Here is a 27,968-nt window from a genome sequence, read left to right as displayed (position 1 = left end):
TCCCAGGAGAATAGAGAACAGGATGAGATAACTCAGTAGTAAATAGCAGAGCCTCCGATACCTAGTGGACTTCCATTCTGCTGGGACGAGCAGCGTGTGAAGCACAGCACTCAGGCTCTGTCCACTGTCCTCAAGGACCATAAAGGCAAGATTGTGGTTTGCCATTGTCTGTAGTTCATTCCACTTGACTCTCTCAAGAGCCTCTTTATCCCCCCACCCGGCCACACCTCTTTCAGAAAGCAGAGAAGTCATCCCTCAGGGCTTCTGATCCCTCAAGTTCATTCATCATCCTCAGGATCAAGTCTTCCTTCCATCTAAAACTGAGCACAGTACAAAACTGCCTGTACGAAATGAACTTTACTACCTCTATCCCCTCTATTTCCTTCCTTTCATATTTTATTCCTTGAGTTACCTTTTTCTTTCATTTTCTTGTTCCAGATTATATTTAACATTTCAGAAGCCATCATTATCTCACCTTTTTTTTTCTCATTATTTGGTGAGGTTTTTTTTGTTTTTTGTTTTTGTTTTTGTTTGTTTGTTTATATTAGGTCTCATTCATGCCCTTCCTTTATTTCCCAATAAATAATTTAGTACTCAATTTTGAAACTTTTTCTTGAAGCTTGACCAGTATTCTAATCTTACTCATCACTTGTACACAGTGTTTTTAAAATCTTCCCCAAAATAGAGCTAGAGCAAGGAAGGGAAGATACATAACATTTCCTAGATGTAATATGCCTAAGAACTTTTCAAGTCTGAAACTTTGATTGTTAGAAAATGACACAGAGGCCCAGAAAAGTCAATTAATTTTCCCTAGGCTTCAAATCTGGTCAGTCACAAACCCAGAATCATTCTTCTACATATGGAGTGAAGCTGATATAAGCAATCTGTGTAGAAAAGAAAATAAATTTTCTCATTTAATGTCAAAACACATGTTCTATCTACTCAAACCATTAGTTCATCAAGTACTGCTATCTTACATAATACAGTGTCCATTTTATCATGATCCAGAGGTTCAAATAAAATATAGTATATATGTATTTTACATAAGATTTTTCTTCAGCCCCATAACACTTTTAAAACACCATATCAACTACAGGACTGAGCACAGTGGCTCACACCTGTAATTCTAGCACTTTGGGAGGCCGAGGCAGGTGGATTGCTTGAGGTCAGGAGTTCAAGACCACCCTGGCCAACGTAGTGAAATCCATCTCTACTAAAAATACAAAAATTAGCCGGGCATGGTGGCGGGCGCCTGTAATCCAACCTATTGGGAGGCGGAGGCTTGAGAATTGCTTGAACTAGGGAGGCGGAGGTTGCAGTGAGCCAAGATGGCACCACTGCACTCCAGCCTGGGTGACAGAGTGACACTCTGACTGAAAAAAAAATAAAATAAAATAATAAAATAAAAATAAAAAATAAAACACCACATCAACTATACATTTGAGAAACCATTTGAGGAAATTATTTTAAGGTAAATAAACTTAAGCTTTTGAGTTGCAAGGTCCCTATCAAAACACATTGATAGAATTATGTTTTCCATAGCAAAAACTTTTCTTTATCAGTGCTATTTCCTCAAGTCACTAGCCAATCCTCCTTTCCTTTTAATGCCAACATTTTTAAAAGAATGAATTACATTTATTGCTTCTGCCCCCTTGTTCCCTGTTAAGTCTAACCTGCTGACTTCTATCCCAAACACTCTTCTATAGTATTTCCTTCCCAGAAGACTGACAACACCAACAGGCACATTCTCGCGGAGGGCACTGCAGCTTTGACTCTGCTGACTCTCCTCTGTTTGTTTCAATAACATCTTACTAAGGTTCTACTGTTTCCTTAGATGGCTGATCATTTTCTTGTCACCACAGTATGGAGATACTCCTTACGTTTCTGCCGCTGATCTTTTCTCTGCACACTCTTCCAGGGGTGCTCCTATGCCTATGCAGACCAGGGCTTAACAACAGGATGTTCTGAGCTCTAGATATAAGTATTTCTGCCTGCTGGCCATGTTATTTGGTGCCTGCTCATGTTACGGGTCTCAATTTCAACATGGCCAATAGAACTTCTAATTTTGTGACAACTAGTTTCTCTTAATGTTAATAATTTTTCCTCTACTCATCCAGCATTAAGTTGATTTTTTTCTTCTTTATTCCCTAAATTTAGTCATTCACAAAGCCTGTGGATCTTTGCTCTGTAACATCTCTCAACCCATTCATCCTTTGCATTGTCACTATTATTACCACTTACCTGAGCAAATGCTGTAGGCTTCCAACCAGTCTTTCAAATCTCCAGTATCTCCCCTCTTGAACCATTCAAAATCACCACTGTAGAGTAACGTTTTTCTAATGCTTTGCTGGTCTCCTATTGTCACTATCCTATGAACAACCTTCAATGGGCTCCCAATGCCTTTTTAAAAGCTTGACATTCCTGACCACAACAGGGTCTCTCCATACTTGTCGAGTGAAACCACTCCCTTTCGCGAGGTCTATGCTCCGACCTTCCTTGACTGCTAGCTCTCACTTCGCTTATTCCATTTCCCCACTTTATTTTCTCTTTCTTCCCCCTGAAACATTATGAGTTGATGCTCAAGAGCTAGTTCAGTTTCGCTTCCCTCCTCTAACACCCAAGTCACCACCTCTTTCCACTGCGTACCCACTGTTCAGCAGGAAGAGATGTTTCTGACAGTGCATTCTCTTCATTTGGATTCTATATTCCTTGGCCATTACTCTCTTATTTATTGAGTTACTTGAACATCATTAGGAATTGGAAAACAATTGAATAATAATTGAATAATATTTCTCCACTAAATGAAGTCATTAGATACATATCATTTTTTAAAATGACTACCATGTTGGAAAAGACTAGTAAAAAAAGAATAACTAGAGATAGTCAAGAGAACCATTCCATGGGTTATAATTCTTCCTTCAAATTGACTACTTTATGATTTCTGTAATGTATAAGTTATACTATACATGCCAAAAAATCTATGTGATCATCTTTTCAGCTTTAGCTTTAGCAATGGACTGTTTCTCTTCTCTTCACATCATTGTCTATTCTGTGATTCTGGAATCCACCTTGCTATCCTATCCCTCTGTACCTCTGCACACATTTTTTCCACTACCTGGAATGACATACTCCCCTTTCTCACCAGAAAACGTTTTTATTTTTTTAAAAAGTATCCATTCATGCCTAACTAAAATTACAATTTCTCTACAAAATAGTTTCTTTCACTGACAATGAATTAGTGTAATGTAAAAGTTAAAAGCACAGGTTCTGTGGTCAGAAGACAAAAGTCCAAATTTCCTTTCTCCCATTTTCTTAATGATTTGGAGTAAGACACAAGTTCAGTATCTATAATATGGGAACAGTCATTGTATCTTTCTTATAAGTTCTTGTCAGGTTTAAAATAATGTAATAAATGATAGCTATTTTATTATCATCTTACTCTAACCTTAATGTTATCAAAGCATTTTTTTGTACTCCTACCATGGCATAACACTTTTCACATTCTCTCTTTTTTAATATATAATTTACATTAATGTCTGTCTCAACAATTACACTGTAAACTGCTTGAGTCCATAACATGGCCTGTTTCATCTTTGAATCCCCCACATCGCCCAGCTCAATGCTAGGTATCTATTGTTTGCTGTATCAGAGGGTTGGGCTTATATATTTTGAAGACAGATTAAAAACTGGGTAAAAATCTCCCTTCTGCTATTTACTCGTCCTTTGTTTTGGAGACAGTTACTCAACATTTCTGAGTCACAGTTTTCTCTTCAATAAACTTAGAAAAGTAACAGTCTACCTCATGGGATTACTGTTAATAAGATAAGGTGTACAGGATGACTGTGATAGGAATGTATATATGATGAGCTAAGTGCTCCAAAGAATAGCTATACATATTAGATATTCCATGCATCTTTCCTGAAATCAATTTAAACATTTGCATGAGAGATCTTTTCCATAGTTTTAAAGATAGGTCATGACAAGGAGAAAGAAGAGACATGATGGGGGTGGAGACACGCTCTAAACAGGACCCTCTCTGACCCAACGGCTCATTTGTACCTGCAGTCTGACCCTGTGCCTCAGAGAATAAGAGCCACTTTGATCCAACCCCCTGACACTTGATTTCATTCTTCTCTTTGTGGAACAATCTCATTAGAGAAATCATGCTGCTGAGAAAGCAGGTCACTCAGCTGGGGGCAGGCAAAGAAAGTCTTTCTCAACTTAGTCATGACCTCCATGAAAAGTGAAGCGTTAGTGAGGGATCCTGAGATTTACAGCATTCTATGGCCAAGGTTTTCACCAGAGGCTGCTGGGATTTTAGGCAGAAGGAAGAGTAATGAAGGGGTTGACTGAACTGCTGCTGTGGGTGTTGGCGTCAGTTCTCTCCTCTGGGTTAGTAATGAGCTCTCTCCCCATCTGGTGGGAAATCCCGGGTGGAAGGAGGAAGTGGGGTGCTGCCAAGGGTTACACTGGCAGTGATATATTTAGAATAAACACCCAATTGGGTTGCTTATCATCTGCAGTCAACAATGACCTTATGACATTTTCTGTAAAAATAGAAGTGTTCATTAACAAACCTAGGACTGGCTTCAATTTACGAGTATTTCTTTTCAAACAATTTATGTAATTTTTATCTTGTTTTTATAAAATGTGATAGAAAAAATAAAAGTAAATATGCCATTAAGATTTTCAGGCTTAGATCCTCATCCCAAGGAAGACCAGATGATCTCCACCAAACAAGCCTGGGAAGCCCTGTGGTGTCAGGGTGTTAGGCAGAGGAACCTCTAAAGACCCAAATTGCTGTTAATCTCCTCTCATCTCCCAAAGTGAAAAATGCAAAGGTTAGCATTTGACCACTAACGAAGTGCTTTACTGCACTTTAAAGTCGTTCAAATCTAAAGATTTATACAGGTGCATGTTTCATTTGGATTGTAGGCTGTTGGATGATCCAGAAGTTAAGAAGTGATAATAATTAATGCTAGTCTCATTTGGTTGGAGTGGATTTTCTTCAGCCATATACCTCTTCTTTCTACTTACTGTGTACTGGGTTTCCCAGCCTGATTTCCCTAGGAATATACTGAGTAGGAGACTAACCTAGCTAAGAAAACTTATTCTCCTTTCCCTAGTAGCAAATTAGCCACGTTAGCCACCTCATAGTCATATTGTTACTGTTGAATTTCCTACTATCCCTCCTCAAGGAGGGGCTCAGATAATAAAAGTGAAAGTACCTAACCCTGTGCCTGGCCCATAATACATGCTTATTGGGTGTTTATTATTTTCTTTTAGCCGTGGATCTACAGGTTAAAAAGTTACATTCTGACTCTCAAAAATAAATCTGTAATTTTGTTGAAGGAGGTTATTTTGGTAATTCAATGTGCTGAGAAGAGCATACCATTGCCCTTCTTTATGGCATCAGAACCAACTGTAAAACAGATGGAGCTGGTATAGAGTTCCACCCAAAGTCACTGGTTATATAGCTAATCCTTTCCCCAGTCTAATTCTCTGCCCATAGGCTTCAATACTTCACAAGACCTATCTGCTGTGTCAAAAAAAAAAAAAAAAAAAAAAAACTTCTGCTAAATTTATAGATCTGGATAATAAACATTTATTGTATGTATCTATTATCTGTCAGTCACTGTCTCTTCCAGAAGTTTTGCTAGAGTTTTTAAGGTGGTCACTAAAATAGAACTATGCTTAATCACAAAAGATTGAAACAAAGAGTAGAACTCCAAGAAGCTAGAGGGTGCATGGTAGAAGGGAATGTCTCAGTCCTTTCAAGTTATTTTGAAATTTGCCACTTTTATTAGAACTAGCCCTGTGAATCTCAGGAGGGGCTCTTTTATGCCTTCATTACATTGTTTTTCTTTATAAATATATTTAGAATTTTATAGCATTTATGAGTAGGAAAGGAATTTACAATCCACCTATTCAACAGGTAAAATTTATTTAGCTAAGGTTAGACACTTGTTTAATGAGCAACTTGCTGCCAACAAATTTTAGAAACCATATTCTCCCTGTTTGATGTGTATTTTCACCTGCCTGCTCAGTAGATCAAGAAAGTTTTTTGTCTTTAGAGCTACCACCAAGAAACTAAAGAAGGGAATTTTTTTTATTTTCTCCACTTATGTACAGGATATTCAATTTGTTGAAATATCACCTATTTGAGAATTGAGGATCAAAGTAGTGTCACAAGTAGAATTCCATGTGACCTTCTAACCTTGCCTAGATTTATAGTTCTCACCAATCCTTTCAGACATTTCCTGCCTCTTGAAATATCTATGCCTCTGCTCCTGGCTCTTTAGGATTAAGGTGGGGTTTTGTTTTGTTAGTTTGGAGTTTTATTTTGTTTTCTTATTTGTTTTTTGTTTTGACTAGTCTTCCTATCTTTCTACTCTTCATTGCAGAGTTAATCAATTGCATTTATTTTCCTCATTTGATGCACTAAAAGACCAAGATGCTTTCCTGGTAGGCTCTAGGGACACCCCTCTATCTAGTAATATTTAGGGCCCACATTAATCAGCCAATATTCACATAGAATATTATTACAGCTAAGCGCTACCTAACTAGCCCCATAAAACAAGCAAAAAAAAAAAAAAAAACAAACAAAAAACCTGCATGATAAGCCATAAGTCACATAGAAAAAAGAAGGTATCTTGACATCCCAACATTTATGAAACTGGTCTTCTTCCCTACGCCCTTAGCATTTCAAATGAAAATACCTTAACATTCCCTCAGAATTCCCATTTTCTCTCAATTTCCTTTCACTGGCCTGTGACCTGGGATCCACGGTTACAGAATATAATTCCCACACCTTGGGGTTAAGTTTCCTCAACATTCTTGATTTATGCTCTTCTTTCTCTCACCCTTTTCCTTTACAGCCCCTCCTCACCCCCTGCACTCTGCAGGACTCTGCAGTCTTTCCTGCCAGGGATCATTTCACTGGGAAATAAATCAACAAATCCTATAAAACATCTCTAGAGATTCACAATATGCACTTAACATTTTAAAGGAAGTTCTCATCTTCTCCCCCAAATCTCTGACTTCCATTAAGCCATTAAAGCTATTTTGTTTCTCACATTTACATTTTAGCAAAGGAAATACGGTGTAAGCCTTTTTTATAACCCACAGTCTTTGAGAAGGAGACATTTTTATCAATGTCTTCTCTTCATATCCACATTGTGAACTACTAGGCACTGTCTTCTTTTACTTTTGCCGCCTTCACAAGCTCAGTGAGATGTTCTATGAACAGTGGTTTTAAATAAGAGCCTTTTGAATAAATTAATCATTAAAGAAGAGAAGCAAATATGAGAAGTAAAGGCGAAAGCTAAGGGGGAAAGGGGAAGCTAAAGTAAAAAGTAAAAAGACCAGAGATTCCCAGGTTTTTTCATTTGAATTAGTGTTATTTAATGAATTTCTTCTTGGTTTTATTTAATTTTGATATATCACTTATTCATTTTGTTATTCAGCAAATTTTGTTGAGCATATACTATATGCTAGGCACTTTTCTGTGCATGGGGATTGCAATTTTAAACAAAACGAAAATTTTTCACTGCCCTCATAAACATTCTAGCAGTTATTGTGGGAAGGCAGATAATCAATTAGGCACAGTAAATGAAATTTAAAAGTATGCTTATCAAGTAACAATTCCTTGGAGAAATGAAAAATGTAGAGCATAGTAATGGTCTCGAGGTATGTGGCTGGAGCAAGGTTGCTCTTTAAATGGTGTTGTCAAAGTCAGACTTTAGAAGAGGGTGAGATTTGAGCAAAGACTTGAAGCAGCGGGAGTGTATGGAGGGGACGAAGGGGCCAGGCGGCCTTCTGGAGAAAGGCCTTTCCTGGCAGCACGTACAGCCTGTGCAAAGCCCTGAAGTGAGCATATGCCCGGCATGTTTAAAGAAGAGCAGGAAGTCCAATGTGGCCGAAGCAGAGTGAGCAAGGGCAGGAGTACCAGAGGAGGAGATAGGACGCCAAAGAGTTAAGAAAAGGAGGAATGCAGAACCTTTCCATCAAAAATAAAATAATACATAACCATGGTTATGTGGGGTGGGGTTGTCTCTTTCTTTTGGAAAGAAGAAGGGCTTTCTGGGAATAGATGGCCAGGCCAGGCAGCAAGCTGCTGTGTGTGGGAGGCAGGTAGGAGGAGGAGGCATAGAAAGCTGCAGATTACAAATGCTCTCACAGATCCCTCAATGAACATCTGTTATTTCAGAGTGTGGTGAATATTTCAACAAGTCAGCTGCCATAGCCAGCTTCTCAGCAGGCTGTTTCACTCCATTGCTCTCTAGTTCCTTCTTAATTCTGCTGTCTTTTATGCCAAGTCTCTCCTCATCTTCTTTTTTCACCATGCCCTATCTATTCTTTGTGGCTGGGAAACTTTTGAGATCAATGTCCTTTATGATGTGTGATTTCTCCCAAAGCACCGTTGCTTGGTCAGCAAGCGTGGGGTTGAATATATTTCCCATAAAGAAGAGTACCATTCAATTTGTCAGTCAAACAGTCAACAAATAAGCAGTCATTCATACATTTATCTTCTCATTAATTCAACAAATGTTTCTTAAGCATTTATTATTTTTCAGACTTCATTCTAAACACTGAATATGCAGCGAAGAATAAGACAAAGTTACTGTGCTTATGGAGCCTATATTGTAGTGGCAAGGAGACCAATTATCAGATAGATGAATAGAATTTTAGATAAAGAATGAGTACAAAAAAGAGAAAGAAAAGTCAAGAAGAGATGGGAGATGGTCCTATTTTAGACCAAGTGAAGTGAGGGAGTAAAACTTTCAGAAGCCTGGGGAATAATGTTCTTGACAGAGAGAACAAATTCAAAGGTCTAGAATCAAGAAATTAATAAGCCTTTAGCATTTGCCAGGTCCTGTATTTCACAGTAGGACTGTGGTTCTCAACTCCTGATGCACGTCTGCATCCTTGTGGAGCATTTCAGGACTCCAGAGGAGCACACCCCCACAGGACTCCCAAATCTGAATTTCTCATGAGGGAAGCTGAGTGTGCCTATTTTTTCAAAAGGCTCCACCAGATGTTCATCCATGTTTGAGAACAATTGCACTGGCGATCCAACTGTGAACACGGCAAAAATTTTATCTGTTCTCATGACACTTTATTGGTGAGCTCTCAGTGCTAGAAAAATGTTTATGTATATGTTGGTTCAAAACCATTTCCGTGTGATTTCCTGTCCTCTGTTCTTATGTTCTCTAAGACTACAAAGTTCAATCCCCTTGCATGTGGCAGTCTTTCAGGTATTTGAAGGCAGCACTTGTTCCAATGAGTTCCCTTAATCCCTCTGTATGAGAGATATCAGACATGTTACCATTCCATTCACTCTCATCTAGCTTTGCCCCATGTGTCCAGACTGTTCTTTAAGTGCCGTGCCCAGAATTAAGACAGAGGTTCCCTTTATGATCATGGAGGCAGCATGTGCCCATCTCCAGACACCTGTTTTCTGTACTTCTTCATACATCTCACATAACAGTTTAGCAAACTCCCTTACATGTTTTTTTTTCTTTTTAATGCTCTCTAGGATGTACTGTTATCCTTCTCTGTTACTGTTTCTTTCTATCACATGTAATCATCATTAATGTTCTTCAATTCTCTTTCATTGTTTTTCCCTTTGGATCTGAAGTTCTCTCCCAAATAGCAAGGTTAAATGCTATTTTACAATTTTGGTTTGCCTTATTAAACCCATTCCATTTATTCAGTCCATCATATTCCTGTTTTTCTGCACTAGGCATGTCAACATATTCTATGCATTAATAAATAATATTATTCAGAAAAAGGTTAATTGACCCAATTAACTGGAACACTCAATCAGTGGCATTCCACTTTTAGAATTAAAAATGAAATTTTAATAAATAAGCCAATAACTCAGTGTTTAATTCAAAGAACTTTCAAAATGTGTTTCAGGGTCAGTTCATATTAGTTACACTCCAAAAATTTTTGCAATGCCTCTGATCCATCATTCTCAAATAATTTTATTGTTATACAGTTTGCAATATCAAATATAGTATTTTTATAATACTTAATATTACCAAGACAGATAGGGCCTTCTATAACATTTGTGAATCTTGGAGCAAAATTGCAAATGGAGGCCCATCATTTAACTGCCTCATACTTTAAAACTACAAATCAAGCTTAAAAAATTCTATCTTCTAACTTATAAAATTATTCCAAAATGGCATAGAAGTCAGGTTTGAATTTATAATTCTTGAATACCTTTGAGTTCTGTGCCAGAAAGTGGTAGTGTTAACAGCTGAATTCTGAACCCTGGCTTGTAGTGATCCCTCTCCTCTTTTTACATTTGACTTTGTCCCACAGCACAAGAAGCTTTGTGAACACATGTGTGGACACCGTAGCCCATGTGTCCAAGCTCCCTCTACACTCTCCAAAAATAGCTCCCCCTTGTTCACCCCCCAGGCCTAGGAACACACACATACCTGGGATATGGCCTACCCCTCAAAGAGTGGACTTGGAAGGAAACCCAGGCAGAACCAAGGAGCAGACTATGAGCCCCACAGGCAGGGAATTTTGGAGTCTCATATACCTAGAACATGGTCTAGAATGTATTGTGGAGTGGGTATTGGCTGTGGGAGGGAATGTCCCAATGGTCTCATGAATTTCTTATAAGAAAGAGCATAGCAAGAGAAAGGCCAGAGCAGGGCCTGTCAAAGTGTAGGGGATTTTCTAGCCTGGATCTAAGTGCACTGTAGTACTAAGGGAGAAGTAGGACCCTATGTTTAGGAGGACTTTAGTTGCAAAGACTCAAATAAAATGGGCTTCTGATTATCCCCAATTTGACCCGACATTTATTTAAGCATAATTTTTAATGTAGGTATTTTTAAGCATATTGTATTTCCCTGTAATGCCTTCCTAAAAAACTCAAAGAATTCTGCAGGACAACAAACTTTCTCCCTACTTTATCAGCCTATCTTATGTAAAAGGAAATAATCTTTCAAAAGTGGCTTCCCTTTTAAACATATAATGAGGCAATGTCTTCTCTGTCTCTAAATGTCCAAGTGATTTTAGACAAGTTTCTCTATCCCTCTGGTAAATATGAAGGCAACATTTGGACAATATTTAAGGTCCCTTCCAATCAAACATTCTCTCTGTGACCCTATGTATTCACTGTTTTCCTAGAGGCCTATAAAATAAGTCCATTGGCAATTGTAAAATTTAATGAAAGACATAAGTAGAAGAAACACAGAAGAACCAGAAGAGACGATGAAAAGGGAAACTATATGTATTGATGAACTTCTGATCCAAATAAAGAAGATTAGATGGCCACAATGGAAGAGGCCTAAGGTAATTAGAATAAGGCTGCACAAATGGTGATTTAAAAGGGCAAGGAGCTTACCATTTCACTCCAGCTAAAAATTTTAGTTAAAGTCAAAAAGTCCAGATTAGAAAAAACAAACAAACTAAAAAATTCAAAACTTTAGTATCTTTGCTAATGTGAATTAGGATCAGGTTCCTAGGAATTCAAGTTAAAGTTGCAAAACTGCTCTACACAATTCACTCAGTAAACATTTAATAAGCCCTTTATACTGATGGCCTTGCTAGATACTGGACGAAAAGAAAAAAAAATAGGCATCATGAATAGAAACAGATAAATTTATGTAGTGCTCCTCTCCTTAAAATGTTTGGAGACACATAATGATAAAAACCTATTATAATACAATGTTATATGAATGCTAATATAAAAATGAAAAAAGTGCTATGAATATTTTAGAAGGGGGAGTAATTCTCTGGTAACTCACAATGCAGGTGAAATTCAGGCTTGTTCTAGAAATCTAAGTAGGAGTTCACTGGGCAAAAAAGGAAGGAAAAGTCATTCCAGGTAGGAGAGACAATAAAAAAAATGGAAGTGTAGTGTATTCAGGAATGATATACATTTTCTTTAAAGGAGAAGATGATTGTGATAATAGTAATTAGCCAATAGGATATACTAAGCAGATACTATATATCAAAAATATGTTAAGCATCTCACATAGATTATCTAAATTAAGACTTACATAGGAGTGATATCAACAAGATAGCAAAATAGGAAGTACCAGTCCTTGTCTTCCACAGAAACACTGATTTAACAATATATGCACCAAAATATCTTTATGAGAAATCCAGAATCCAGTTAAGAAGTTGCACCACCATAGGTGAGCACAAAGCCAAAAATAGATGCACTCAAATGGTCAAGAAGAAGAATTTCATTTTATATGCATCAGCCTTTGCCACAAGCCAACACAACTCAGAACCCCCAGAAGAGAACACACTGGCTCGCAATTTCTTCATCAAGGGGAAAAGGAAAAGTGGAATGTGAGTCCAACAATCTGGCTCTTTGGAGGCTGCCCAAATGATTGGTTTCTGTCTCATCTCACCTAGAGTGTTAACAGAACTGGCCTTGTTTGAGTGTCTTGGGCAACTGAGAACACAGAAGCATGGAAAGAGGCAGCTTGCTACAGCTTTTGTAGTCAGGAAAGAGAACACAATTTGAGGCTTCTCTTTTAAGAGAGAGTAACAGAGTGTGTGTTCAGTGTTCAAGTTTTCAGAGGGTTTCCTGAGGAATTGATAGGTATAATGCCTCACTCACAGTGCTGGCAGAAAGTCAGCATACTTTGGATGTTTGGTAGCTACTAAGAAAAAGGGAGAGCTTGGTAGTCTGCTGCTATAAAACCAGGGAACTTGCAGTGCCACCAACAGACACCAGATGGAGGAAGAGATTATAAACTCCTGCAAAAGAAACCAGCATACCTCTCTCCTCTTCACATGAGAAATTAAACTCACAAGCACAGAGAAGTGGCATCTTCCCCAAAAGATTTCAGAGGCACCCTTAACCCCCAGCCTGACTGATGGGTGAGGATCTTCCCCAGTAAAAGCAAGTCTATAGAGACTGGGTAAGATGGCTGTCTTTTCAAATGTGTGGACCCAAATAAAAAGTTGTAAGACACACAGAGAAACAAGAAAACATGGCCCAAGGAAAGAAACAATATAAATCTTCAGAAATTAATAATTTAAAAATGGAAGTATATGAATCACCTGACAAAGAATTCAAAATAAGCATCATGAAAATGTTCTATGAGTTCAAAATAATAATGATGAACAAAATGAGAATGTTGACAAAGAGATAGAAATATATATATTTGAAAACCAAACAAATTTTGGAGCTGGAGAATGCTCTGAACTGAAATATTCATTAGAGATAGTCAATAGTAGATTTGACCAGGCAGAAGAAAGAATCCATGAACTCAAAGACAGGTTATTTGAAAAGATCTAGTCAGAAGAACAAAAAGAAAACAAGGAACTAAAAAAGTAAAGAAAACCTAAGGCACTTATGGGACTTCATCAAGCAATATAGGCATTATGGAAATTCCAGAAGGAGGAGAGAAGGAAGCAAAAAGCTTGTTAAAAGAAATAATGAATGAAAACTCCCCAAGTCTGGAGGAAAAAATCAGCATCCAGATTCAAGAAGCCCAATGAACTTCAACTAAGATAAATTCAAAGAAATTCACACTGCAGTATTTTACAAACAAAAATTCACACCAAGGCATTTTATAAGCAAATTGCCAAAAGTCAGAAACAGATAAAATTTTGAAAGGAGCAAGAGAAATGCAATATATCACATACAAGGGAGTAATCATAAGATTATTAGCAGATTTCTTGACAATAACCTTGCAAGCTAGAAGAGTGTGAGATGACCTATGTGAAGTACTAACAGAAAAAAATCCTATCAGTAAAGAATACTATATTCAGCAGAAATATTCCTTAAAAATTAAACAGAAATAAGGACATTGCATATAAACAAAAATTAAGGGAGTTCAGCAGTGCTAGACCTACCTTATAAGAAAGCTAAAAACTTCAAATTAGTTGAAGTTTAAGTAAGAGAATGCCATATGACAACATCAAAGCATATGAAAGTATAAAGCTCACTGGTAAGGGTAAATATATTAATAAATACAGAATACTGTAATACTGCAATGGCAGTACATAAATCACTTTTTATTCTGATAGAAGTTAAAATGTATAAGAATAATTATAATTATAAAAATACATTAATGAATAATGCTATAAAAGGATATAATTTGTGGCATCAATAACATGCGTATGTGTGGAGGGGAGAAATGAAAGTATGGAGAATTTGTATGCAATAGAATTGTCAGCTTAAAATAGATTGTTATAAGATGCTTTTTGTAGGCACAAAGAAAATATCTCTAGAAGATACACAAAGGAAAATGAGAAAAGAATCAATGCATGTCACTACAAGATCAATGAAACATAAAGGAAAACAACAAGAAGAAATGAAGGATAAAAGAGCTACAAGGCAGAAAACAATGGGCAAAATGGTGATAGTTCATTATCAATAATTACTTGAAAGTTAATTAATTAAATTCACCACTCAAAAAATATAGAATGACTGAATGGATAGAAAAATGAGATCTAACTATATGCTATCAACAAAACATTTACTTTAGATTTAAGGACACATACAGGCTGAAAGTGAAAGGATGGAAAAAGATATTCCATGAAAATAGTAACTGAAAGAGAGCAGGAGTGGCCATATTTATATTAGTCAAAATAGACTTTAAATCAAAAACTGTCAAAAGAGACAAAGAAGAACATTATATAATGATAAAACTGTCAATTCACCAGGAAGATATAACAATTAATATATATATATATATGCACCCAACATCAGAGAACCCAAAAATATGAAGCAAATATTGATAGAACAAAAGGGAGAAATAGACAGCAATGCAGTAATAGTAGGGCATTTCAATACTCCACTTAAAATAATGGATAGAACATCCATATACAAGATGAATAAGAAAACAGAGGATTTGAAAGACACTATTGCCCAAATGGACCTAACAGACATATACAGAATACCCCACCCAACAGCAACAGAATACACATTCTTTTCAAGTGCACATGAACCATTGTCCAGGATAAATCCCATAATATGTCACAAACAAGCCTTCACAAATTGAAGAATATTGAACTCAATAACAAAAAACCTGATCTAAGAAATGGGCAAAGAACTGGAATAGACATTTCTCTGAAGAAGACATACAAGAAGCCAACAGGTATATGTAAGATGTTCAACATCACCAATAATTAGGAAAATGCAAATCAAAACCAAAATGAAACATTGTCCCACACTTGTTGGAATGGTCATATTAAAAAAAGAGAGAGAGAGAGGAAAAAATAGAAAATAACAAGTGTTGGATAGGATGTAGAGAAGTTAGAAAACTTGTGCACTGTTGGTGGGAAAGTAAAATGGTGCAGCCAGTATGGAAACCAGTAAAGAGGTTCCTCAAAACAATGTAAAAATTAAGAGTTATCATATGATCCAGTGATCTCACTTCTGAGTATTTATACAAAAGAATTGAAATCAGGATCTTTAAGAGATATCTCTACTGCCATGTTTATTGCAACATTATTTGTAATAGCCAGGAGGTAGAAACACCCTAAATATTCATTGAAAGGATAAGAAAAATGTGGTATATATGCAAGAGAATATTATTCAGTTACTGACAAGGAAGGAAATTCTAAGTTACAAGATGGTTGGAGCTTGAGGATGTTATGCTAAATGAAATTAGCCAGTCACAAAATGACAAATGCTACTTCAGTTATATTGGTATCTAAAGTAGTCAAAGGGCTGGGCACGGTGGGTGGCTCACGCCTGTAATCCTAGCACTTTGCCAAAGTGAGTGGATCACCTGAGGTCAGGCGTTTGAGAGCAGCCTGGCCAACATGGTGAAACCCCGTCTCTACTAAAAATACAAAAATTAGTCAGACATGGTGGTGCCTGCCTGTAATCCCAGCTACTCGGGAGGCTGAGGCAAGAGAATCACTTGAACCCGGGAGACAGAGGTTGCAGTGAGCCAAGATCGCGCCACTGCACTCCAGCCTAAGTGACAGAGCAAGACTCCGTCTCAAAAATAAATAAATAAATAACCTGTTTTGTCACAGTTTCATATGCAGAAAAGAAAGAAACAAGCAAGAGATGATAATGTTCACACCCCAGACCCCCATTCACACTCATTTATACATACACACCACGTTTACCTATGCACATACATGCTCAACCCAAACCTGACCTCTAGAATTACAGTGAAAACAAAGTGTTGGCCAGCAGAAGCCTGGGCCTGATGTAAGGCACTTATACCCTCTTTCTCAGCTGGTATGATTAAGCTGCTTTAACTAGTTGAGAAGCTATCTAGTTATTAAATCTTCCTAGACTATGCATTCATGAGTCTGGCAAGCACAAGAAACGTCACCTGCAACTCTTTTGCCCTTAGGGCCAAAAAAGCCCAGGCCTATAGAAACAGGACTCTGAATGGATCATGTTGTCATTTAATTTCTAGATTCAGGAAGCTAAATTTAGAATGTCCTATTGACAACCCAATATCCGGCAGGACAGTGGGGGTGAGGAGTGGGGAGGGAGGAAGCATAATTTTTCAAGTGCTGTGTGGTCTGCCCTACAGGAAGTAGAGAAGCATCAACTCTTCTAGAGCAGAAATTTCATCTCTCTTAGTCCATCTCCCAAGAGATATTGTAGATAGTGTTAAGATTAGAGGTGTGAGTCCATTAGGTCTGAGTTTTCCCTATGCCAGTTTTGTAGCCTCAGGCAATCATTTAGCCTCTATTTCATAGGATTGTTACAAGATTAAATGAGAAAAATACATGTAAGGAATTTAGCACAAAGGTTGGCACACAGAAAACGCTACATAAATGATAGCATTATCTGATCTGGCCAAATTTAACTCATTCCAAAGTCTTTTTGAGACAGTTAAGAGTACCTCCCATCTCTCTGAGCTATAAGTACCATGAAGCAGGGACAAAAAAAAAAAAAAAAACCTGTTCTTTAAGATTTTGTCCCTAATCTAAAAATGAAGCTATCGAGGGATTTACTCTGAGCAAAGCAGCCACTGAGAGTTGCAGTTCATCATCACTCAGCCAAAGCCATAGTCAGGGCCAGAATAATTGGGCTGACTGTGGGGCTGGTTCCTGTGCTTTCCATCACAGCCATGCCAGTGAGAGACTGATGTAGGTAACAGTCTTGGCCAGAGAGATAACAAAATGCCCCCTTCTCCCACCTCAAAATTTAGCAGGCTATTCTAAGAGGTTATCATGATTTCAGAAAGTGTTGCCTGAATGATTGAATCTGGATTTGTTTTACTGAAAGAACATGTAAATATCATAACAGATAACATCATTCATTTCTCAGCTTTGGGAGAAATCTTGTACATTTCATTTCCCTTGGCTATTTTTTATCCAGGCCAAGAAGAATAATCCATAACCTTTGCATCATTTGGAATAATGTGGTCTTATCCTAGATATGTGCTAGTAATCTCCCTACGTAAGAAGCTACTAATAGACCCAGGGTCTTAATGGCACTGGAAAAATAAAAATCCTTCTTTGTCCCCCAGTAAGAAGCAATGGCCAGTGACCTGAAGGATCAGAGGGCCAGAGAGGTCAGTAGATAAAAATGTGCAGTTGAACCTGACCTGACCCCTGCCCACAGCCACAGCACTGGCCCCGATTTCTGCTCTGCTTCTCATGGAACTTTAACTGAAGGGTACTTGCATTTTAAGGACTGTTTCAATTTGAAACAGGAGGTGCTTTCAGAAAATAATAGTATGTAATTAAAATCTTTCTGAAGGACAGAGATAATTTTTATATTTATGGAAGTTGGTGAGGCAGCAGATTTACTAGCATATTTGCAAGGTTAATGTACTATGCTCAATAAAGTGTTTTATAATTTTTCAAGCAAATTGTAAAAATGGAAAAAGTGAAGAAAATCCCATTCCATTTTGAGTATCTAAAAGGCACCAAATTAACCCATCTCCCTACTGGGGGTGCTATATTCCTCCAAAGCGTGTTTTCAGATATTTAGTAGTTATGAACTTGAAAAAAAAAAAAGGTCATTAATTTAAAAGAGTGTTTGATGCAAAATGGGAAGGGATGGAATAAATTGGAAAATATTTAAATATATAATGACCTTTAGGGATGCTGAAAAATAAAAGATATGAGTTATGCAGTTTCTGAGAGTAGGAAAAAGTAAAAGTAAAAGTAAGTTTTAAAAGTATCCGGAAGGAATCAGGGGTGGTAATGGAGCTACCTCTGGAAAAGTGATAAAGAGGAAATCACTGAGAGATGGGTCCTGTTACTCCAGAAGTTCTATGATCTCTGGACTGAAACATTTTATTTCAGAAGGCAGCAACAATATAGAAGCAAAGGTACGTAATAAACAATAGGCTAAAGTGGTAGAAAGGGAAAGGTTGCTTGCAAGTAAGAAGTATGGAAGCAAGTGTCGAGGGATTGCCCAAAGCTATTGAGCATTGTTTAATGTCCTAGTTCAACCCTCACCTTAATATTTTATTTTTCTCTTAAGTTTCCCAACCTAGGAAATATCTGAAACCATCTGCAGTAAGTCATTTTGTGCCTTGGGATGCAATCTTTTCCTTCTTTCCAGCTGCAAGCCCCAGGCAAGTTTCAGGAACTGATTAGCAGAGGCCCTTGTTCCTCTGCTTGGTATTTTGCAGAACTATTGTCCTCTTACTTAGACTTTTTCATAATATACACATTAGGGATCTCATTCATAGAAAAATGAAGCTAGCCTTTGTAAGGAGACTATTACCACTTACTTTCCAACCTACTACTTTCTATTTCTATCCTCCCCAGGATTTCAGAAATATAAAGGCATTCATGCAATGTGTGTAACGCTTGGGTGACAGAGATAGAGAGATAGACTTGAATATGATTCCTGACCTTAGGCAAGTGACAAAATCTCACAGCTTTAATTTTCCCATCTGCAATAGAAGAATAGTATCTACTTGATCAGATTGTTATCATGAGAAATAAATGAAATTACATTCATCTGTTTCTTTACTCAAGAAATATTTTCAAGTTCCTATAGGCTACAATACCTGGAAAGTTGGATTTAAAATGAATGAAAGAATGGATGGATGAATAAATGAGTGAATGAAATAAGTGCAAGAGAAGGTAAAGGTGACTACCACAAAACACCATGGAGATTTTTCTTAATGTGATATACCTATATATCAGTATTATAAGTGATTGGGCCTCTTTTCTCTTGATCTGAGCTATACAGAACAGTTAAGATCTGTTAAATGATGGGAATTTACACTTGAGGTGAAGAGGTGACATTTGGCAGGTATATTAAATTTCTATCTGCTTATTGTACGTTTCATATGTGTTGAATTTCATGTCCCATTGCATAAACATCTGTCTGTTTTTATCTTGGCTGCTGAGCCCCTTGCAGCTCTCCATTGTTTTTCATTCTGAATCCCTCTACTGCTCACACCCCAGCTGATTAAGCAGCAGGCTTTGAAGAGAAAAGGCAGGTGGGAGATATCCCCTAAGGTGGGGCCAAGCACTCTCTGTGGCCTTCTTTGTCTGCTTGCATTTATCTCTCTATTGAATGATCGGTGTTGGACTTAAGCTTTAATATTCCACATTTCAGATGTAGCCTATTCATCTATAAAGTAAAAAAAAATCTCACTCATGCTCTGCCAAGTGAGTCTGACTGAAAACAGGATGGCCTTTGCAAGGCATTTCTGGTAACTTATATGTTAAGCACTGTTCCTTCTAGGCCAAAGTCAGCATAGTGTTCTAGGGGCTATATCTAGTAAAAGATATTTCAGCACTTTGGGAGGCCAAGGTAGGAAGAACATGAGGTCAAGAGATTGAGACCATCCTGGCCAACATGGTGAAATGCTGTCTCTACTAGAAATACAAAAATTAGCCGGGCGTGGTGGTGCGTGCCTATAGTCCCAGCTACTTGGGAGGCTGAGGCAGGAGAATCGCTTGAACCCGGGAGGCGGAAGTTGCAGTGAGCCGAGATTGCGCCACTGCACTCCAGCCTGGCAACAGAGCGAGACTCTGTCAAAAAAAAAAAAGGATATTCCTAATTTCCATCCACAGATCATATCCCAAGACTGCCACTTAAAAGGCTGCAGCAAGTGAACTCAGGAGCTTTATGTACACCGATGGGAAGAAAATCCTGAGTAAGAAGTTACAGATTCTTAAATCATTCCAGCCTTTAACTGCTGGGAAATCTAAGTTATATTGTTTCACCTCTCTAAAATTCTTTTTCCCATCTATAAAAAAGGAAGGAACTGACCTAGTTGATATCAAAGGTCTTTTCCAGCAGAAAAATTCTGTAGTCAACAACACCTTTTACAACTAGGCAAGCAGACACTGGAGAAACTCCATCTCATTTCTCTACTTCTATATTTATCACCTCAGTCATCAGCAAGATATTGCCCAATATAAGTGAGCTGAGTTAGCCATCTTGAATAGCATGGGAGTTGTCTCAGAAAAGTTAGGAATGTCAAACTTCACTGGAGTGTTTGGTCACCACTGAAGAAAACCAAAGGGAATGGAAAGGTGCAGCAAATCCCAGGTGCCCCAATTTTAGTTTAACTTACATAACAGCAAGGAAAGGGTAAGAGGACATCCCTTTTCAAACCGTTTCTATATCGCAGCAAGATGCCAGCCTCTGGCTGCTTTCTGGCTTCCAGGAAAATAAAAGAAGTACCTAACACACCCCTCCCCACCTTGCCTCTTTCAATGTGATTATTCTTGCACCCCCTTTGGAGTCTAACCCAGGATACAGACCTTTTAAGTATAAAAATGTACTTCCCAATTCCATCTTCCCAGCAGTGCAAAAGAATCCTAAAAAGTCAGGAAGAATGAAGAAGCCTCTAAAATCTGTGTGCTTGAGAGTACTTAGCACCACATTCTTCCTGACACAACAGGTAGGGTTTTATGTGATATGCAGCTAAAAGGAAAGATCTATGGGGAACAAGGAGCAGTTCTGCCTGTTGATGAGAGAGATGCTTATCTCTTCAGTTTTTCTAACTATTAGAGGTAAAAGAAAGAAATATAATAAGAGAGGGATGGAGGAAAGAGGAAGCCTCTCTAGTCCACTAGTAAACAAAAAAATTATCCCGGTACTTGTTAAAACAATGTCAAGACTATCGCAATAGGGAAGAGAGATTGGGCTCAACTCTGAATGCAACAAGAACAAGTGGAGATTTAGAGACACTGGGTGGAAAGCACAGTCAGTGTATGGAAAATTATTGAGAGGAAACACCAACGATAGGGGGATTCTTGCTAAACTAACCTAACAGGATTCCTGCTGAAGACAAGCCAGAGTGAACAGATATTATGGTTGAGGTGGTGCGGGATGAGAAATTTGATCAGCTATTGAGGGTGATTGGATAGTGAGGGTTAGAGGATTCCCTCTAAACTGGCTTAGCAAGATTCTTGCTAAAAGTGATCTGTGCAAGCCCTGCAAGGGGAATGGGTTGTGGAGGTGGCAGAGCAAAGTCAACATCGACGCAAAGAGGGCTCAGAGGAGCTTGACTAAAGTTTGGTCAAGGATCTCTAGGTCTTCCATTTTTTTGAGGGCCTATTTTTCTTTTGATCACTCTAACTTGTATCTGCGGAGCTGCCACAGTCCTATGATTATCTTATGAAACTTACTGGTCTTAATGGTCTTTGGTTTCTGTATCTTGACTTTCCTTCTTTTCTTTTTATCTTTTTATTTTTTTAAAGATTTAATTATTCTTTTGGATTTACAAAATACAGTTCCCTGGAACTCTCTTTTCAAGGTCTACACAGGGTTTAATACATGATTCGTTTAATACATGGTTCATTCAGCGTGACATAGATGGATTTCGGCCCTTACTCTGTGCCAGGCATCATGGTAGGCACTTGGGACACATGCATGAAAAAGACATAGGTCCCCTTCTTATGGAAGAACCTCATGGGAAAACTCAGGTTTTGTCACAGAGCCCACAAAACTGAGGCATTACTCTTTTTTCTCTTTCATTTCCATGTCAAAGAGAGATTCCTCATCAATTAAGGTGAGTGTACTTATTTTTATTTTCTTAAGATAATACTCAAACCAAGCTTCAAAAGAACTTTGTTGAAGAAAGGCATTTCCGGGGCATTTTCTTCTAACCTAAAATACCTGTACACCCTTTAGCTCTCTGACAGTCCTTGCCCTGGGGAGGCTGAGGGCCATAGTACACCGGCTCCTGCTAGTCTGCTAAGCACCCAGCAAAAGTCTCTACCCTGTGGTGCATTCAATAAATATTTGTAGCCTGTCAGAAGCTTGCAGGTCAAAAAGACCATGGCTTTGTCATGCAGCCAGGTGAGCTGGAGATGTCAATAAAACCAACTGCATGAGAAACACTGTACTACAAATGTAGAGGAATATGAAGTCAGAGAGAAACATAGTATCATTTACATTCTCTCCACTAGGTGTCATTATACAGGCAGATTATACAACTGATAAAGACCAGTTTTTTTCTCTTAATTTAATCATCAACATTAAAATTCTGTAATTTATTGATGCATCTGTCTTCGCTATAGACTTGTGCTATGGACTTTGAAGAGCATATTAAAATAATAATTGCCTGCCAGAATAAACATCACGTGTTTTCTAGACCATCAAGTTTTACTTAAAAATCTAACTTGGGGAAATCCACTTTTGAGGAGATGGAATACACATATTTGTCCCTATACTTCTAGAAAAACACAACTAAAACCCCTGAATATTCCATATAAAACAAACCCAAAAAGATTCTGAAAGTTGGAGAGAAGAACAGACTAGGTAGGGACCTCAGGATGTAAGGAACAGCATGGCCATAAGTTCCCTGGGTGTTCTTTTTGTCTCGTATATCCCAGAGTTGAGGAAGCCAGCAATCTGAAAATGCCAATGGACACAGACAAAGGAAGCCTCAACAAAAGCCTGCCTTCTAAAGCCAAAAGACCAAAAAAGAGGCAGAATAGGAAGACAAAAAATTTTTTAAACAATAACCACACTAGACCAGCCAAATACCACAGGGGAAAACAAACAAACAAACAAAACTGGCTACAACTCCACTCGTGCCAGCAAAGGTCAAGTGTGGAGCCCAGACTTCTACACTCATGTGGCTGCAATGACGCAACACAGTATCCCTTGCCAAGATGGTGTCAGAGGAGGCCAAGGATGGAGCTGAGCTTTTCATATCCCCTGACCAGTAAGGAGCCACCTCTCACTCTGGGTTTCAGTAGAGTCCACATGGAGAGTCTGGCTTTCCACACCCACCCAAGAGTAACAAGGGGTCCCTCCTCCTCCCAGTGGGGTTGGTGTCAAAGAGGTTTGCAGCAGTTGGACATGCATGCACAAAAAGAAAAAATTAAACATTGACCTACGTCTAACACCTGGTATAAAAATTAACTTCAAATGAATCACAGACTTAAATGTAAATGTAAAACTGTAAAACTTTTTAGAAAAAAGTCTTCATGATCTAGGGTTAGGCAAAGTGTCCTTAGGCTTGACATCAAAAGCATGGTCCGTAAAAGGAAAAGTCAATAAATTGACTTCATCAAAATTAAAAACTTCTGCTTTGCAAAAGACCTGTGAAAAGGATGAAAAGACAGGGTACAGAGTGAGAGAAACTACAAATCAGGCAAAGGAGTGATAGCTAGAATGTATAAAGGACTCTCAAGACTCACCAGCAAAAAACAATCTAATTTTAAAATGGACAAAAGAACCAACCATTTCACTGACGAGGTTATATAGATGTTAAGTAAAAGATGTTTAACATCACTAGCCGTTTAGGGAAATGCAAATTAAAGCCACAATGAGAGATCACCACACACTTATCAAAATGGCTAAAATAAAAAATATGGCAACACCAAATGATGAGAAGGATGTGAAGAATCTGAATAATTCATACTTTGTTGGTGGGAATGTAAAATTGTATAGCCATTTTGGAAAATAATTTTGGCTTTTGCTTTAAAAATTAAACATACAGCTACTATATGCTCCAGCAGTTGTACTATTGACATTTGTCTCAAATAAATGAGAGAGTTATGGTCACACAAAAACCCATACGTAGGCCAGGCACGGTAGCTCACACCTGTAATCCCAGCACTCTGGGAGGTCAAGGAGGATGGATTACTTAAGCCTGGGAGTTTGAGACCAGCCTGGGCAACATGGTGAAACCCTGTCTCTACAAAAAATTAGCCAGGCGTGGTGGCAGGCACCTGTAGTCCCAGCTACTCAGGAGGTGGGAGGATCACCTGAGCCCAGGAGGTCGAGGCTGCAGTGAGCAGTGATTGCTCCACTACACTCCAGCCTGGGTGAAAGAGTGAGAATCTGTCTCAGAAAAACAAAAATGAAAACCCATACACAAGTGTATATAGCAACTTTATTCATAATAGCTATAAACCAAAAACAACCCATATGTTTCTCAATGATTGAAGAAACTGTGGTACATCCATTCCACAAAACACTACATAGCAATAAGAAGAAACAACTGTATATATTTTTACTATAGCTGTCATTTATTGAGCTTTTACCATGTGTAAAATGCTTTATATATAATTTCATTTAATTTCACAACTCTTCAAAGTACATGTTCCTTTTAAAAATTGATGCATGACATTTGTACATATTTATGGGATACATGTGATATTTTGTTACATGCATAGAATGTGTAAATGATCATGTCAGGGTATTTAGGCTATCATCTTCTCAAGGATTTATAATTCCTAAGTGTTGGGAGCATTTCAATCCTTTCTTCTAGCTATTTTGAAATATACGTCATTGTTAAGTATAGTCACCCTACTCTACTATTGAACATTGAGTAGTTCATTAAGGAATGAACTACTGACAGATGCAGCAACCTGGGTGATTCTCCAGTGACTTATGCTGAAAGAAAAAGAGTCTATGCCAACAGTTGCATACTGTATAACTTCATTTATATAATACTCTTGAAAGGACAAAATTATAGAAATGAAGAAGAGGTTAGTGGTTTGCAGTGTTGAGGAGGGCGTGAGGACAGGAGAGAAGTGGTGTGGCTATAAAAGAACAATATGCAGGATCCTTGTAGTGATGGAAATTCTGTATCTTAACTATATCAAGCTCAATATATGCTTTTTAAATCCTGATCTTATGATTATGCAAGATGTTAACGTTGGGAGAAACTAGGTAGAGGATACAGAAGGATCTCTGTATTATTTCTTAAAACTGCATGTGAATTTTTGTCTTTTTTGCTGTCTCAAAATAGAAAAATTTAATTAAAAAATCAAATGGGGGTAGAGTAGTTAGCTAGAGAAGGCATTACTTATATTAAAACACACACTGATACATTATGGGAAGAAAGCAAAACTTGCCTGGTTTTTCAAAATAAAATATAAAACATCAAAGAAATTTTACATTTGCAACAGAACTTTCAAACTATATTCCAAATTCTTAGGAGCAAATATTTGCATAACTCTGTTTCCCAGGTGAAAAACTTTGAGGAGTGCTTGGTGGAAAAAAGAGAAGATTGAGCAAAAGACCTGGATTCTACTTCTTACTAGCTATGGGACTTTAAACACTTTGCTTAATTTTTCTGATATTCTGCTTCCACTTTAAACTGGGAATAAGAACAATGTTTTCTTACCTTTCTCCCTGGGTAAATATAATGATCAAATGAGAAAAAAATCCATAATCTGAAAAATATTGTTATGATTGAGACCAACAACACTGATATGAGCACATTGCGTCAATGACTTACACGAATTTGCAAGCCCAAAATAACTACCATAAACATATTTGCAGAAACAGGATAAATTTTTGTTTTCTTTTTAGAAGAGTGAAACACAGATATTTTAAACTTATGTAAAGGAGCTAGATTAGAGCAAAATTATCACCTCACTAATAAGGCAAACTTCTCATTAAAGTATATTATCCTGACTGGCTTCTTACTACTCCCCACCCAAAACTGAGAGAGCACAGATTATATTATCTCTTTAATTTGCAACACGTCAAGCTTTATCTTTGTGGCACTATCCCTCAAAACTCCAATAGAAGAAGACATTCAAAATATTGGCCTGATGCTCCCTATTTTAACAAGTGATGCATTTCTTGATTTAAATAAAAGAAAAAAGAGGAAATAGAAACCCACAGATTAAACCAATATCTAGCAATAGGAGTTCCCAAACCAAGATGTACTGGACGGGGATTGGAAGAAGCAGGATTCTTACATTGCTGCTGAAGAAAAGACAAGAACTAATGTAAGCTAGGTGAATGATGACACCAAGGGAACAGCAACAACAACCACAGAAGATACCTGAGCATTTGCCATTCATTTGGAGCTCTTCCAACTGGTTCTTATACTCATATCTCAAGACAGAGACAAGCATGAAAGGACCACTTGCAAGACTGTGCAGACTCAGAAAAGCCTAGATGGAGAACTAGCAGAGATGTGATGCCTGGGCAGGTAGGCAGAGAATCAAAACTCTAGAATCAAAACGTGGAATTTCAGAAGGCATCTGGGATCTGAAATCTGTGTCTTTGGGATGCCTGAAGAAAGATCAAAGCTAAGGATGCAGGAGGAGCAAAGACCATCTATAATAAAGCCAATTCCCAGCCCTAGACAGATATTGAACCGGACGGGCATTAGGACAGGGAAGGCAGTATAGCAACAACATAGGAATTCAGTTATTTTTCAGAATTAGTCTCTAAGTTGAGACTTTGAGAAAAAGCCAAAAGTTATGTTATCTAAATTTAAGTACATGATCATGGGATACAAGACAAACAGCAAGGATGACTTGGTTTGGAATCCTAAAGAGTGACCTAGAACAGCTTATGTCACTCTTGACTGAAGACAGAAGTGCCGGACAGAAGGTCAAACATCTAGACAGGTTGGAGATGACGACAGGCAAGCTGCAAATAAGAGAGGCTTTTGTAAAGAAAGCTGTAAAGTCTCTGACACCTATACTTTATTTCCTGCAAATTCCATGTCTAAGATGACTTAAAACTAATGCTTTTTGCACTAGAGGTATAATGGATTAACAACAATCAGAGTAATAATGCTACCTCTTGTGCTTTTCCTCCTATGTTCTTCCTTTGTGCTCTGATAACAGTAGGAATAAGTTCTATATAAATATCAGAGGCTGCATATCTGTAACATCACAGAGTAAAAAGGTCAGGTTATAAGCAACTTCAGAATCAGGCTTTTGGAGGATCAGAACAGGACTCCACTTCATCTTCCACTTTGCTGAATACCAAGGTAGGGTCCTGTGTTCAGGTTTTTGCAAATCTGGCCATCTGCAAAGTTTTGTTCTGAGCCTTGCAGGTAGACAGATATACTAAAGCTTCTCTGTTAGCTAGATAATAGCAAGATAAGATGTACTAAGTCTACAGTTGAATAAGCTTGCTACAATATTCTTTTGTAAAGTTTAGGGTAAACTAAAATCATTTGATTGGATATTGAGGGGTAGGTTTTCAGTGACAGGTGATCTTTTTCCACTTATATATATATAAACTGAGGGGAAATTAAGTATCATCTCAGCACCATGCCTAATAAATGTTGGTCTCAGATAGATGAAACGGCATAAATAAAAGTAGCATTAGTTTCTTCTGCTCTCCCAAAGTGACACATATTATAAGATATATATATATATCTTTCTTATCTTCCCTGTATGGTCAAACACCAGGATTTCATACATTGGGCTCAAATCTCCCCATGATTTAAGTGTAGATTACTAGCACTATTTCAACATTAAAGATCCTACTTTAGATAGATGAAGTCATCTGTGACATGAGATGGGGCTATGTTGCCCATTTGGAAACTGCCCAGTAAGTGGCATGTTGATCTTCATAATAAAAAGGCCTTGAGAAGCCCCTAAATGATGTCACATTTTACTCAGCAATAGCTGGTGCATACAACTCTCTGTTTCTTCAGCAAGATACTTCACACAAAAATCTGTGATTTTACTTTGATTAAAAACTAAATAATTACAATGAAAACTTTTTATTTTTGAGTTTACTGTAGACTCATAAACCATTTCTCAATTATTTGAGAACTACTTTTTGCTATTTGGCTGTTCCTAAGTGAATTTTCTTTCATGCAGGGTCAGATGGGTCTGACTGGGGAAGTAGCCCG

General features: G+C 37.8%; 1 protein-coding gene and 1 long non-coding RNA gene across 7 annotated transcripts in view, besides 1 other annotated feature; one reads left to right on the top strand and one right to left on the bottom strand.

Moving 5' to 3' along the window:
• Nucleotides 1-27,968, bottom strand: part of LOC124906269 (uncharacterized) — a 277,601-nt gene that overhangs the window by 133,129 nt on the left and 116,504 nt on the right. The window lies entirely within an intron of this gene.
• LSAMP (limbic system associated membrane protein) overlaps nucleotides 1-27,968 on the top strand; it is a 643,114-nt gene that overhangs the window by 509,915 nt on the left and 105,231 nt on the right. The gene's annotated exons all lie outside the window — the stretch shown is intronic.
• Nucleotides 2,653-2,702: an enhancer, noted in NCBI's record as "active region_20286". NCBI's record gives its function as "activates an Ori minimal core promoter by ATAC-STARR-seq in GM12878 lymphoblastoid cells {active_cell/tissue: GM12878}" and the evidence as "EXISTENCE:reporter gene assay evidence [ECO:0000049][PMID:35858748]".

The sequence above is a fragment of the Homo sapiens genome, chromosome 3 (genome assembly GCF_000001405.40).
Source record: "Homo sapiens chromosome 3, GRCh38.p14 Primary Assembly".
Classification (NCBI taxonomy): Eukaryota; Metazoa; Chordata; class Mammalia; order Primates; family Hominidae; genus Homo; species Homo sapiens.
This window is presented reverse-complemented; position numbering and strand designations above follow the sequence as displayed.